This window comes from Homo sapiens, chromosome 4 (assembly GCF_000001405.40).
Source record: "Homo sapiens chromosome 4, GRCh38.p14 Primary Assembly".
NCBI classification, from domain to species: Eukaryota; Metazoa; Chordata; class Mammalia; order Primates; family Hominidae; genus Homo; species Homo sapiens.
In genome coordinates, this window is record NC_000004.12 from 101,846,730 (window position 1) to 101,862,090 (window position 15,361).

Consider the following 15,361-nt stretch of genomic DNA (forward strand, 5'->3'; position numbering starts at 1 on the left):
ATGGGGGAAACCACCCCCGTGATCTAGTCACCTCCTACCAGATTCCTCCCTTAACACCTGGGGATTACAATTCGAGATGAGATTTGTGTAGGAACACAGAGCCAAACCATATCTAGTAGTGATCAAGGTTCTCTGAAGTCTGACTAGCTAGGTATTCTCCTGACTTCAGCAATAACTAGCTGTGTGGCCTTGAAGAGTTCATTTATTGCTCAGAACCTTATTTTCCTTATTAAAAATGGCAACTTCCATCCCTTTTCCTCACCCTCCCTGTCAGCATCTGCTGCGCTCCAGATTTTACTCATATATCGTTTGCCTCCCCTCATTAGATTGCAAGTCGTATGAAGGAAGGCTTACCACCATGTCCTCTGCATCCTGAATAGCACCTGGTACATAGTTGGCTGGTAAATATTTGTTCAAAGAAATCCATATAACAAGGATAATATTATTGCCTGCCTCTTGGGTTGGCAGAGTGTGTGTGTGTGTGTGTGTGTGTGTGTGTGTGTGTGTATGTATATAGTGAGTTAATATATGCAAGGCACTAAGAATAGTACTGGCACATAGTCAATGTTCAGTAGTTGTTAGTTGTTATTCATATTCATGAGAAGTTTGGGGTATTTATTTTTGTATTTTGTCTCTTTTTAGTTTTTTTTACTATTATTATTTTTAATTTTTCCATAAGTTATTGGGGTGCAGGTGGTATTTGGTTACATGTGTAAGTTCTTTAGTGGTGATCTGTAAGATTTTGGTGCACCCATCACCCAAGCAATATACACTGCACCATATTTGTAGTCTTCTATCCCTCACTCCCACAGGTCCCTCAAATCCATTGCATCATTCTTATGCCTTTGTCTCCTCGCAGCTTAGCTCCCAGATATCATTGAGAACATACGATGTTTGGTTTTCCACTCCTGAGTTACTTCACTTAGAATAATAGTCTCCAATCTCATCCAGGTCACTGCAAATGCTGTTAATTCATTCCTTTTTATGTCTGCGTAGTATTCCATCATACACACACACACACACACACACACACACACACACACACATATGTCTCACACAGTTTCTTTATCCACTCGTTGATTGATGGGCATTTGGGTTGGTTCCACGATTTTGCCGGATTCGCTCCCTCCCCTGAGTTCTGGCCAGGAAGCTTCTTGCCCCGTTCAAATTGTTACAAAGTTCAGCTAGAGAATTCCTTCTCCCTGTGGAGTTTTACCCCCTGCTCCTCTGGCCATCTTCCTGATGGATCCCTTTGGCGCCAGCGAGGAATGGCTGCCTGGGAACCCAGTGAGCTCCCAGGGCCTTTCTGCTACCTCCTCTACCTCGGTGTTTTGCTCTGCTCTCCAAATTGACTCAGTCAGGGAAAGTTAGACACTTCTCCCGCAAACAGATCTTCAGCTTCTCCAGTGGGGCTGTGTGTTCGGGAGAGGAGGGTCTCTCTTTCCCACTTCCGCAGTTGGGGCACTCATAGTTTTGGGGGGGGTCTCCTGGGTCCTGTAGGAGCAGTCCGCTTCCTCCAGAGGGTCTGTGGGTCCTCTCGGGATTGCTGGTTTGTTCTTGTAGTTAATCTGGAGCTAAAATTCACAATGCGAGCCCCCGCTTGCTGCTCTGTCTGGAGTTGCACTCTAGTCCTGCCTCCTCCTGTCCGCCATGATCTCCGGTATTCATTTTAGGTCAAACCCATATTTTAATTTTTTTTCTTTTAGGCAATAAATTAATTATGGCTTCCATTTCACTTGCTAGCTAGAAGTCATCACTAAAAACACTCCAGTTTCTACACAGTAACTTAAGGTTTACCTTGCTACACTGGGAAAGGAAAGATTAGGCACTAGATCCATTTGCTAAGATAATACAGTCATGCACTTGAGATATAAGAGAAATACAATCCAGTGTCAAGGGCATGCAGTTTAAAGTGAAGAGTAATATTATTTTGTTAATTGCTTCATGCTTTATTATTTAATTTAGCTATTCAATCGTGATAGTAAAAACAAAACAGAACAAAACAATTCTATTGTTACTTAAACATAGGTAATTTTAATATACAGCCTCTTTTTCATACTTTTTGCAATGGCAAGGGTCTCTAACTTTTAGGCATTAGAGATGGATGTCCCTTCATTCTCTTCCTAGTCTCTCATTCCAGGATCTTGTTTATGCCCTTCTAGCATCCTCCCACCTCTCCCTTTCAGCGATGCAATCACTCCCCAAGTTCTAGCTGCATCATAGGCTTATCCCCTTATCTGCTGAGCCACGGAGGCAACTGGGGCTGGACATACATGCCTTGCTCTTACTTCCCTGCACTTAGCCCCCTTGTACTTTACTTAAGCCTATCACACTAGGTTCCACAGTTACATGTAAAAACCTGTAGTGTACTGAAGGCAATACCAGAAATTGAAACATTAAAGTTGTCATTACTTCCTGGAGTCTCATGGCAATTGCAGGTAGGCCTTTCTCAAAGAGAGGTTTGGTACTTTTTTACTCTTAATCCGCTTCTTCCAACCTCATCTCCTTGAAGTATGTTCAGTTGATATACAATAATGCATTTATTTTACCAATAGTTATTGAGTGCTGGTCACTTCCTGGATCTCATGGAGACTGGAGAAAGGAGTTATGAGAATATAGGTCCAATGGCTAGAATGTTCTCTCTCTTCTCTTCACCATTTTAAGTTTCAGACCCACTTCTGAGGAGGCCAACCTGAATGCCCAATACATGTCTTTAGCTTAACAATGAACATACAGTGGTGGTGGCGTTTTTAGTTAGGACATGGAGATACACACGCACACACACACATATACACACACACACAAATATATAAGCATATATATGTATACACACACTCATATTCTTAGGACATGGAAATATAGGTAATTTGTATGTATTAACACATACTATATAAAAAAATTTATGTGTGTGTATATATACACAATAAAATTTGTGTGTGTGTATATATATGATTATGTCTATCTAATTACCTTCTAAACTATTTAAAGCTTATATAAAAAGGAAAATTAACTCAAATTGTTATCTAAACATCAGTGAAGTTTCATTTTCTACCCAAGGGCCGGAAAAACTTCGTCATTTATTTACTTTGGAAAATTTGGGATTTTTCTATTGAATTTACTACTTATGGCTCTGTTACTTTATTCCTAGGTTAATTCTATCTGCTTTTTAGTTTTCTATGTCTGTTTGATACAAAATACTATATTCTCTGCACATTTTAGAAAAGTGTTAGAAGAGGAAAGAAAGATTCTATTTGGCTTCACATTTTATTGAGGAGGAACAGTTTCTCACTCACAGAATATAAGAGCTGTCTACAAATAGTTTTAAATGTTTGACAGAAATTCAGTAATCCATCACTGGATAGGGATTATATTTTTAAGGGTGTGTTCAGAATGAAATACAATGTCAGTAAAAGTCTTGATAAACTGTAAAAACTCATTAGAGTATAAAATATTTTTATTATTGCACTTAATATGAGCATACCTTGATTTGTTCTGCTTTGAATTTGTGTTTGGGTGTCTTTTTGTTTGTTTGTTTGTTTGGTTGGTTGGTTTGTTTTTTTGAGAGGGAGTCTTGCTTTGTCACCCAGGCTGGAGTACAGTGGTGTGATCTAGGCTCACTGCAACCTCTGCTTCCTGGGCCCAAGCAATTCTCCTGTCTCAGCCTCCCAAGTAGCTGGGATTACAGGCGTGTGCCATGACACCCAACTAATTTTTTTTTTTTTTTGTATTTTTTGGTAGGGACGGGGTTTCACCATGTTGGCCAGGCTGGTCTCGAACTCTTGACCTCAAGTGATCTGCCTGCCCCAGCCTCCCAAAGTGCTGGTATTACAGGCATAAGCCACCGTGCCCGGCCTGTGCTTTGCTTTTTTGTGCTACACAGACACTGCATTTTTTACAAATTGAAGGTTTGTGGCAACCTTTTGTTGAGCAAGTCTATTGGCACCATTCTTCCAACAGTATGCACTTGCCTCATGTTTCTGTGTCACATTTTGGTGATTCTTGCACTATTTCAAACTTTTTTCATTATCATTATGTCTGTTGTGGTGATCTGTGACAAATGATCTTTGGTGTTACCATTGTGATTGTTTTGGGTGCCATGGACTGCACCCATACAAGACAGTGAATTTAAGCAATAGACGTTTTGTGTATTCTGACTGCTTCACTGACTGGGTATTCCCCCATCTCTCTCCCTCTGCTTGGGCCTCCCTATTCCCTGAGACAAAACACTATTGAAATTAGGCCAATGAATAAGCCTACAATGGCCTCCAAGTGTTCAAGTGAAAGAAAGAGTCACACATCTCTCGCTTAAAATAAAAAGCTAAAAATAATTAAGCTTAGTGAGAAAGGCATGTTAAAAGCCAATATAGGTAGAAAGCTAGGATTCTTTCTTCAAACAATTAGCCAAGTTGTGAGTGCAAAGGAAAAGTTCTTGAAGAAAATTAAAAGTGCTACTCCAGTGAACACACAAATGATAAGAAAGCAAAACAACTTTATTGCTGATGTGGAGAAAGTTTGAATGATCTGGATAGAACATCAAAACAGCCATAATATGTCCTTAAGCCTTTTTCAGAGCAAGGCATGTGGTAGATAGAATAAAGTACTGTCCTTGAGATATAAATCATTTAAAAAAACCTAACTAGGCGTGGATTTATTTGATTATTAAACCAGGCAACAAGTATTTATTAAGCCTCTACCATGTGCCAGGCACAACTGTATGCACTAGAGATATAGAGGTGTCAAGTTCGACTAAGGTGTTGGTAAGAAAAGGTGCCTCAAAGGAATAATGAGTGAATTTGGGTGGGAGATAGAGTAGAAGGAGAGGGGAAGGATAATCTTGGGTGGCGGTTTATATTTTTAGTTGAGAATCACTGTCAGTTAATAGTTGTTGCTCCTATGAATATCCTGGTCAAAACACCTACAAAGCAGAGAGCCAAGCCTACACATTTAACCCTTGGAAAAAAATTGCTGGAGTTAGCCCTTCTCTTATCAGTTTTTCTTTCTCTGTTGTCTTTGGGAAGGGTGGTAAGTGCAGGTTCCATTCTGTTCCCTTATTCAGTCCCAGTACTAGCTAATTTTGTTTTATAAAATAGGCTTCTTTTATTCTTAGGGCAAAAGCAAAACTTCCTTTTGCTCAGTAGAAGTAGCAGCTGGGAAAGTCCCAGTTATCTCTGTTCCAAATTAGGTTTTAACTTATTAACATTATCTTTGTCCCAGGACCTTCTTCTGCTCTTTGAATTTTGAGTTCGTGGTTTCTTCAGTTTTGGAAAGTAATTAGTTTTGGAAAACGAATTTTCTATTTGAAGTTGTCTTTTCCAAACATGTTTTGGACTCCGTTTTCTCTGTTGTGATGTCTCTGTTCATTTAGTTCCAGATTAACTTTTATCTTTGAGAAACTCCTCAAAATTTGTTCTTATGTAATTGCACCATTTATCAATTTCTAGTGCTTTAATACATTCATTATCTTAAAAGCAATCTTTTCTATTATTGCATTTATATGTTGTAGAGTAGGAAAATAGATACATGTTCTCAGTCTGCAATCTTCATCATTTCATTCCTCTACTTGAATTAAATATACATACATAATTTAAACCTGTAAAATAAATACATTTTCAGTGTAGAAAAATCAGAATATGTATTACATATACTGTATTATTAGATGTTATTAATATTATATATTTATATCTATTTAGTAAATTACACATGACCCACAAGCCAGAAAGAACCACTCAATATTTTTCGGCTATATATATATATATATATATATATATATATATACACACACACATATAGTCTATTCTCATTCATTCAAGCCTATGTCTTTAATTCCTACCACATAGCTCTGTATATGTACAGTTTTTATTTTACTAGAATAGGAGCCTACTAAATTGACAGTTTTGTAACTTGAATTTTTTCAGTTATATCGTAAACTTCTTGCTGCCTGTTAAATACTCTTTGATAGAATTATTAGTTTTATCAATTACAACTTTTATCGCATAAGATATTTTTATCTTATTCCTTATTTCTTAGATTGCTTCCAATTTTCTCCATTACAAACACTACTTCTGTGAATATTCATAGAGATAAATCTTTTTGTACATTTGTGATTATGTCCCCAGGGTAAATAAAATAACTTTTTTTTACCTAATATCACAGAAGAATTAGCAGAAAATCCTGGATACTGCCATGGTGGAATGACTTCTCCTTCTTTTAAGGTGTATTAAATAAAATCCATTTCTTAGTTTTTCTACAAACTCACAAAAGTATTGAGCCAGTTTTATACAACCTTTCACTGTTTTGATTTGTGTATGTCTATGTGTGTGTGTATAAGCCAGGAGGAAGAGAGAGAGAGAGAAAGAAAGAAAGAGATTGCTTATGAAAGTGTTTTAAATTGTTAGTGAAATAAGGACTGTTTTTCATTTCAAACAAGACTAGTACTGAGAGGAAGCTGGAAGTCCTAGGTACTGTTGTGCCTTAGTTCTGCAACTTTCATAAGACAGAAGAAAACAAGAAAACTTTTCTTCTCAGAAACAGCGTGGAGACAGCTCCTCCCTCTCAAGGGAGGCTCTCTTTTGTTACTCTGCTTTTCTGATAGAATTACCTATATGGAGCTGGTGACTTCTCTTTTTTTTGGATACAGTGAGACCAATATTCTAACTACTTCCAAATCTACTGCCTTTGACTCTTTCTTTTTACCCTGTCAATGCTGCTTAGCCAAAGAGCACCAGGAATGTACCTGCACTTGAAGTATTTGGATTTTTTTTCTTGTTGCAATAAAGAGAAGGCACATCAGGGAGAACCATGGGGTATCTCAGGAAAAGGGCATTAGAAAGGACTTGGAAGATTTAGACTTGTGTTCAGTGATTTGAGGAGGGTTCAAGGAAGCAGGGCTTGGATATAGTTTGCCTGCTATCAAGAAGCAGGCGTAATTTTATGATTTGACATATTAATGGAATATTAATGACTCTACTTGGAAGTAACGGACCAACTTTTCTGGTCTGCTTGAGACTGAGGGGTCTCCTGGGGCAAGGCATTTTCAGAACCCAAACCAGGAAATTCCCAGACAAACTAGGAGGAGTGGATCACACCGCGTAGAGGGCAGGAGAAATGAGATGAGGCTACAGCTGGAATTGCTAAAGAAGCAGTCATTCATACTAGCCAGGATTTGCTCATTTTTGTGGTTTGGGCAATGTTCATTATTTTGTCTAGATTCTGACATGATTACAACGTGGTCTTGTCACTCTCTTGGTTCATCATGGTGACAGAGTGGCCTTGTCTAATTTCGATGTTGTTGGTGCTCAGTAGAAAACCAGATTCCGCCTCTGAGTAGCAGGCTAACTTCCGGAAAAGCAAGGCATTCTCATGTTGCCAGCCTAGTTTCTAACTGTCAGGGGCTGCTTTTCTTTTTTCCAGTTCCCTTCTTGGGGGGTTTCAGGGCTGCTTTTGGGTGGGCATGAGTTTATAGATGTGACCTTCTCATTTCAAGAGTTTTAATTTTAGCCACATTGGTTCTGTGCCATAGTGAAACATTTTGGGCTTTGAGACACTGAATAATAATAAAACATGATCTATTTCTCTTAACACATTTTTTCAAATAGAGAACAATGTTTTAATGATTAAGACTAAATGCTAAATTACTGTTAAAATTTTTAAAATCAGATGCTATGCTGCTTCTTTGAGATTCAAAATTTACATTAGCATATTTCAGTGTTCTTAGTAATACTGCTATAAGGAAACCCAATTTATTTGATATAGACACTTATTTCCATAGAATGCATTAACATTTTGGTAAGTACTAGTATTTCACTATTAAACCAGTATTTCCTAGAAATAAATACTAGTCTAATTTATTTAGTGATTGTCCCATAATTGTGCTTTCTGTTTTTTTTTTAAATTAGAAATATGTAAGGGGCAAATAACTATTCTGATTTAAATTGTTCTGACTTAAAATAAATGTCCTTAATAACCGTCATGGAAAACAAATGGTTTTATGTTTTACAGATCTACTGTTTTAATATTAAGAGAAAATAGATATGGTGACTGGATTCTATTTTTTGGAAAACACTTAACTAGTAGATGAACATAGTATTACATAGTTGATTTAGTTTAGTCATAAAGATTATAAAACTAGTTAAATTGTGAAGTATTATTTTAATTATTAACATTGGTTCAATTATTTCAGCTATCTTAAACTCAGTTCGGTTTCCCGTATATTAAATTGGTTGTTTAGCAATTAGTCTTTATAGCAATGGAGGAAATACTGTGGCTTTAGTTATATTATAATCTACATTCATAAAATTTTCTCTAGATTCTGAAGACTACTTTGAGGTCAACATTCCAACAGACCTACGAGCAAAACATTCTGGGGAAATAAGTGAGAGAAAGGAAATTGAAGAACTATCAGAAGCTTCAAGAAACACCATACCACTAGCAGTGGTGCTTCCCACTGAAATTCCATGTGAGGTCAGTAAAGATACCTTGTTATTTAAGTGACCCCATTGTGTTATGGTGGTGGTGGTGGTTGTTGTTGTTTGGAGAGACAGGGTCTCATTAGGTTGCCCAGGCTGGTCTTTAACTCCTGGCCTCAAGAGATCCTCCTGCCTCAGCCTCCCAAAATGTTGAGATTGCAGGCATGAGCCACCGCATCCAGCCCACCTGTTATTTTTTTAATAGATATTGTATTTCACAAGAATGCAAGCTCCAACATAGCTGTCATTTTTGTCTGCTTTGTTCATGGCTATCCTCTGAACCTAGGCAATTAGCAGGCATTTGATACACACTGGATGATAGTTGAATTAATAGGCATTTGTTACATAATTGTTGAAAAATTAAATAGTGAAGGTTATATGGAAGCTTAATTTTATCAACTGTGACTTCACATTTTGCAAATAGATGTACAATTGCAATAGCTCTCAAGCTAGTCAAAAGAAATTTAGATTCACAGTAAATAGGTTAAGGATCTATTTTCCTAAAGGGAAACATACCCTTGGATAGAATTTTAAAATACTTTATTTTTAGGACCACACCATATTTTCAATGAAGAAACATGTATTAAAGGCTGACATTAAGTGGAAATACCATAAAAGTTAGAAGAGATAGTCCTTCAGGAAATAAGAGTATAATGTGGGGGGATGATTTCTGGGCAGGTGACTGTGGGAATATATGTTCCTAGCATGTCTTCCTCCTAAATCTTGCTTGGAATGAACCACTAAAATAAGCCTTTCCAAATATCTGACTATATAATCTTAGGACATGAAAAAGATGCTGGGCCTCAGTTTGTGGCATCCTTGAGTATAAAGAGCCAGAGATACAGGAGAGCGTTATGGGAGTTGCCTGAAGGAGTCTTTCTGATAGAAGCCAGTGACAGGGGCTCACTGACCTTTGGGTGGGTCTCCTGATCCTACTGGTACCAGTGGTCCTGATGGAGGTGGAATATCCTGTGTAGAAGGGTATAGTTTAGTTTCCTCACCCTCACTCTCTAGACCCTTACCCCATGCCTAAGCAGAAGAATTGCTGTTTTAAGCTATTTGCTGTCAGTTCCAGAGGAACAAAAAAATGCTTTGACACTACCTTAGAGACCCCAGGAAACGGAACTATACAGGTATGAGGAAACTGACACAGATGATCAGGCAAAGAAAAATTACAAGGGCTCAGAACTTAAAGGAAGGAGATCAGGCTGAACAGTCAGAACTCGTGGCTCCTACTGAGTCAGAAACAATGGAAAAGACAGAAAATAAGTGTAATAAAAGAAAAATGGCAACTACTCTCAAGTAGATGAAATCAAAGCAGAAAAAAGAAAACCCTCTGAAACTAAAAGTAGCTCAACAGGAGTTATACAGTGAGTCTAAATAGCTGCTTTTAAAAATATCTGCAACAGTAAAATTCGAGCACTGTAAGACCCTTCTCTTACTAAATTTTCAAAGAAATCAGTCCCAAAATCAAACCTCACTGCTATCTAAGCAAAGATGTGTTATTTAGATAGCTAGTTAGATAAGGGTTTTTTCAATAGGAGAATCATGGACTGTTTTTTATTGACATTGATATAATTCTTTCAGACTCTTGGATTTAAATTATTTCAATATAAAATTTCTTTTAGGTACCCCACTTTTTAAAGAATCCTAAACATTTAAAAGGTTATACAAAGTTATTTTAGTGCCAGCCCCACATTCTAATCAAAGTAAGCTAATCATTGGACCAAAAATAGTTATCCCAGACAAGATTTTTTGTTTTCAGAACCTAGATTTTAGTATAGTCTGAATCCATAAGACTATTGCCAACCACCAGAGAAAAGACCACTTTTACCCACTGAGTGGAAATCATGTTTCAGACTTGCCACGACAACTTTCAGCCTATGTCAACTGTCTGAAAGCACAACCTTTGAATTCAAATTCATTTCTGAGAAGTTTTCCAAGTAGTCCGTGAATAGAGACCACTTAAGATTACTGCCTTAAGGAAATGATAGTTGAGGCTTCCCTATCATCCTAAAAAATCTAGAAATTTTACCATACTACCTCAGTCAGTCACCAGGTCTTCCTTAAGATGTGCCTGATTCATACCCAGTATCTTCAAACTGTGTTAATTTCTCTTTTTAGTTTTGTGTTTCCAGCATGCTAACACTGGGTTGACTATGAGCTCTTTATAGTTGCGTAATTTTCATTCTCTCTGATGAAAAGGGAGTTAGTTTAAATTTTTCCTGCTGCTGCCTCTTGCTGTGGAATTGCTGAGGTCTATGGACCTGCCTCCTAGAGAAATTCTCTTCTTTCTGCCCTCATCTGCTCTGCAGCATTAACTTTAGTCTATCGTTAATTAAGGCAGTGGGTGCTGTTGCTACTACCTATGACCCTTGGAGCTTGGGAATATTGATTCCTCTGCCTTGTCACTCTTCCTAGCACTGCTCTTTTCCACAGATTTGGATTTCCTAGACCTTGAAAATTATGTGCCACTTCTCAAACAGCAGAAAAATATTTTACTTTATTTCTTTAACTTTTTTTCCCCATGCACTAGTGAAGATATCCCTCCATTGTCCTATTTATGTAAGTTAATTATCTGTGTCTTTGAGAAATACCTAGGTGAGTTTTAGTAGTTCCAATCTGTTTCTTAATTTGACCTCTTCTTTTACTTTCTATAAGACTGGCACACTTTTTCTATTTTAGTATTTTTTGGACTTTTCTTTGTTTATGGGCCAAGACATTTGTTTTTCTAGCATATGCCTCTTGGTTTTTTTGTGTGGGTCAATTGACCATGAGAGATGTGAGTTCTAGGTCTCCCAAATGCATCCACTGTTCAAACGAACCTCATCCAATTTTATCTCCCTGATGAAAAATCCAACTGTGAGGTACTCTCCCGTTGGAATTACAACAAAACCAGAACTTGACCTGATCTATTTTTTAGTAACTTCTCTTCCCTGTGCAGTCCATTACACCGGCAAACTCCCTCAAAGAAGTGGCTCTCCACTGCAGGTGATTTTGACCCTCTCTACCCAGTGGATATTTGGCAAAGCTTGCAGAGATTTTTGATTGTCATAACTAGGGGGTTGCTACTAGCATTTAGTGGGTAGAACTCTGAAAGCTGCTAAACTTCCTGTAATGCACACAACAGCTCCCACAACAGTGACACATTTGGTCCAAAAATATCAACAGTGTCAAGTTTAAATCTTATTTTTGTGATCCCTAGTCACAGATTCAGAAATGACTTCCATATTTTCTCAGCAGTAGCTCCATCCTATAGAACAATTAGGAGTGAGCTTATTTTCTTTATCTCTTTTTTTCTTTAAACCCAGATCTTTAAATATATCATTTTCCCTTCCTTTTGGTAGAATCTGCCCACTGTAATCTCAACTTTCCTTCTCCCCAAATCTCTTACTTCCTTTAATATAATCAACCCTAATTCTTTTATTTTTATTTTATTTTCCCACTGCTGCTATCCTGATGTTAAGATAGAGACATTTGAAAAACCAGTTGAGTCACTTATTGATTTCTTGAGAAAATTTAATTCTGAAAGTCATCGTGCAACCACAAAAGACCGTTAAAGTGGCTTTATCAGCATTTGGATCTATATTAATTTTATTGAATGTTTTTACAATCAGAATCCTACCACATACCATATTCCCTAATAAAGGTCTTTATTTTATATGACCTGTTCATTGACACACTTCTAAGGCTAAAACCCTAATATGAGTCTTCAGCCCTTCGACAGACCATGGATTATGTAATAAACAAATATAGAGATAAATTGAGATGACATGAAAGAATGTAACTCTTAAAGGCCATAAGAATCTCAGAGATTACCTTTTTGCCCGTTCATCCCTTGACTCTGAATACAATTTAAAACAGTGTACAAAAGCTAACAGCACTACCCACTTACTTCTGATACCAAATCACAAACTAGTCCTTGGTAACCAACCTTAACTTAAAGCCCAATCCTGTGATTTAATTGGAAAATACAGTAAAAGCAGCAAAAGATGCTTGTGTGCATTAATGCCTGAAAAGTCTGTATTGTGAAGTGATGCCTTCTCAGAGGTGAAGTTTTACAGTGACCAAAAGATGTCTCTTTCTTTTAAATAGGTGGTTATCAAAAACTAAGCTACATACAGGGACTATTAGGGGAGTTTTCATACACACAAAATAATGCCTGTGTCCTACCTCAGAGATTCGGATATAAATGCCACATTGCAGACCAGATTTCACCTCTTTTGTTAGGTCTCAAGGCTTATGACCAATGTAGCCAAGCTTTAAAGTTTGGAAGTGATAATTGTCATAAACCTTTGTTTCCCTGAATGCTCTGACCTAAATAAGGGATTCACAGAGGAGTCAGAAAGATTGGGAGCAAAACAATAGCTTCGTAAGTGGTAAAACTAATTTATGACCACTTGAGGATCCTAATATTTTCTCCATTGAATTAAATTAGCTAATGTAATTAAGAGCCAGTGCTTACTCCCGGGAGTTGAGGAAGCTTTGAGTACTGAGAGAAGTATGGAACAGAGCTGAGCATGCTCAATGTTAAAGTGTCATATTTTTACAGACTTACTTCACCTTAATTTAAAAATATATATACAGAATGTTTTTACGTGAATAATTTTTGAAAGGTGCTACGATAATATAAGAAAATAAAAACACCCTTAGGATGTTTAACATCTAGCTAGAAAGGCAAGACACAGACATGAAAAACTAATCAGGAGTAGAGAGCATGACTCTTAGAAACAGTCAAATGATGGTTATGGATATGCAGTGCAGAAACAGTCAAATGATGGTTATGGATATGCAGTGCTTTAGTGTTCCTTTGAAAGTTCTAAAACTCTTTGTGAGCTGAAGTTGCAGGAGGATTTTGTGGAGCTGGTGAGACCTGAGTTGGACATTGTTGGAGAGGATAAATATGGGGATATAGAAGGAGAAAAGGAATTAAATATCATGCCAACATTATGTTCAAGCAAGCCCAGCTGCCTAGTTTACGGTGCAAAATGAAAATACAAAGTACCATGTTCAAATTATTATAATGTCAAGGTAATTACAGCAGAATATTAAACCAAATACAGGGCCTTCTAAGTGTGGGGCCCTGTGTGACGGTAAGGTCATGGGCCCATGAAGCTGGCCATGGGTACAAATGAAGATGTGAGTGCCTCATTTGGGGTGGTCAGTGTGTTTGTCTTTTGCTTAGAACATTTCTCTGGAAATGGTTGAAAGGTGGAGTCCTGACTTTCTTTTTTTTTTATTTTTATTTTTTTTCGACACAGAGACTTGCTCTGTCGCCCAGGCTGGAGTGCAGTGGCGTGATCTCGGCTCACTGCAACTTCTGCCTCCCGGGCTCAAGCAATTTTCTTGCCTCAGCCTCCTGAGGAGCTGGGATTACAGGTGTGCACCACCATGCCCGGGTAATTTTCATGTCTTTAGTAGAGATGGGGTTTCACCATGTTGGCCAAGCTGGTCTTGAACTCCTGACCTCAGGTGATCCACCTGCCTCGGCCGCCCAAAGTGCTGGGATTACAGGCATGAGCCACCGCACCCGGCCCTGAGTGAGGAATCTCCTGTGTCAGAAGCAGTCATGAGTTGGGAGTCGGTTGGGTGGATAAAACACTGGGAGAGTGCATGTGTACTATCCAAATGTGGAAAGCCATAAGTCAAAGTTAAACAAGGAATGATGCACACACAGGAAAGATCTTTGAACTTTAAAGCAGAGGATCTTGACTAACTGAGCCCAAGTGAAATGGAAAGACATTATTTGGCTCTTAAAGATTTGAGGTAAGGGGCAGATATGAGAAACAAAAGGAACAAAAGAACTGTACTAGAAGCGAGGCCCTGTGAGGAGGAGGTTGCAGATGTGAGGAACAGGAGGGCTTACACTCCGGCTTTTCTGACACATTGCATGTGTGGGGCAAGAGCAACAAGTGGAATAGTGGGAGTTCCTTTGAAATAGGATCCTTTCCCGATGAGCGTTGTAAATTCTGAGGAGAAATTTAGTTTTCCCTGTGGAAAAATATTTAGGAGTATTAGACTCTGGTGGAAAATGCCTGAAGTAGATTTTTGTGTGAGCTGAAATGATTCTATAACATCAACATAATTAGAAACTCTTTTGGATAAAGCATAAAGATGTAAGTTTTATTGGTGAGTAATTTATACTTAGGGGCATTTAAGAGAATCTTGAAATTAGTAACTTTTTGAGAAACATGATTTTATAAGAGCATATAAATGGGATCCCTGTTTTTTTTAAGTATGGAATTGAAACTTATTATGACTTGAAGAAAGCTTTTGAAGGGTGATATCTAAGATAATCATAAAAAGAATGTTTTATTTTAATTTTTTCATGGGGTTCGACAGCATGATATAAGGATTAGTGTGGATTTGGAAATTAAATATTTCTGATTAGTCTTCAGAATGTAATTCTGTATATTAGTTGTCCTTTTCCTAAAAGAGAAAAAGAAATAGCCTTATCCATTTATTTTGGTATGTGTATGTGTGTGTGTGTGTGTTTGTCTTTCTGTATGTCTTTGTGTTTATCTGTTTCAGTTAGGTTTAGAGGAAATATATTTATTTAAAAAGTGCTGAGTATAATTTCTAGTATAAAATAGATAATAAATGTTTATGCCTTTCTTTTCTCTGTATTAACCCCAATCTTTCATTCCTAGTATTTTTTCTCAATATTTTTTCACAAAGTTATTCAATAACCTTTTTCACCTTATACATTTGGCCTCTCCATCTTAATTAAATCTAGAAACTTTAGATTTATAACCTTTAGTCAACTCAAAAACCATGGCAGACACTTACCACAAATAAAGAGTGGCCACTGAACTTCTACTACATAAAATATAAAACTATTGGACTTCTTAAAAGTCATTATATTTAAATTGTAAGAGATCTTAAACTTTTTCAAT

The 15,361-nt window shown here is 37.4% G+C and overlaps 1 protein-coding gene across 3 annotated transcripts in view; it reads left to right on the top strand.

Moving 5' to 3' along the window:
• BANK1 (B cell scaffold protein with ankyrin repeats 1) overlaps window positions 1-15,361 on the top strand; it is a 284,083-nt gene that overhangs the window by 56,000 nt on the left and 212,722 nt on the right. For all 3 annotated transcript variants that reach the window (NM_017935.5, NM_001127507.3, NM_001083907.3), the window contains one exon: window positions 8,306-8,460. In NM_017935.5, coding sequence (NP_060405.5) covers window positions 8,306-8,460 — 155 coding nt within the window. The remainder of the gene's footprint in view (window positions 1-8,305; window positions 8,461-15,361) is intronic.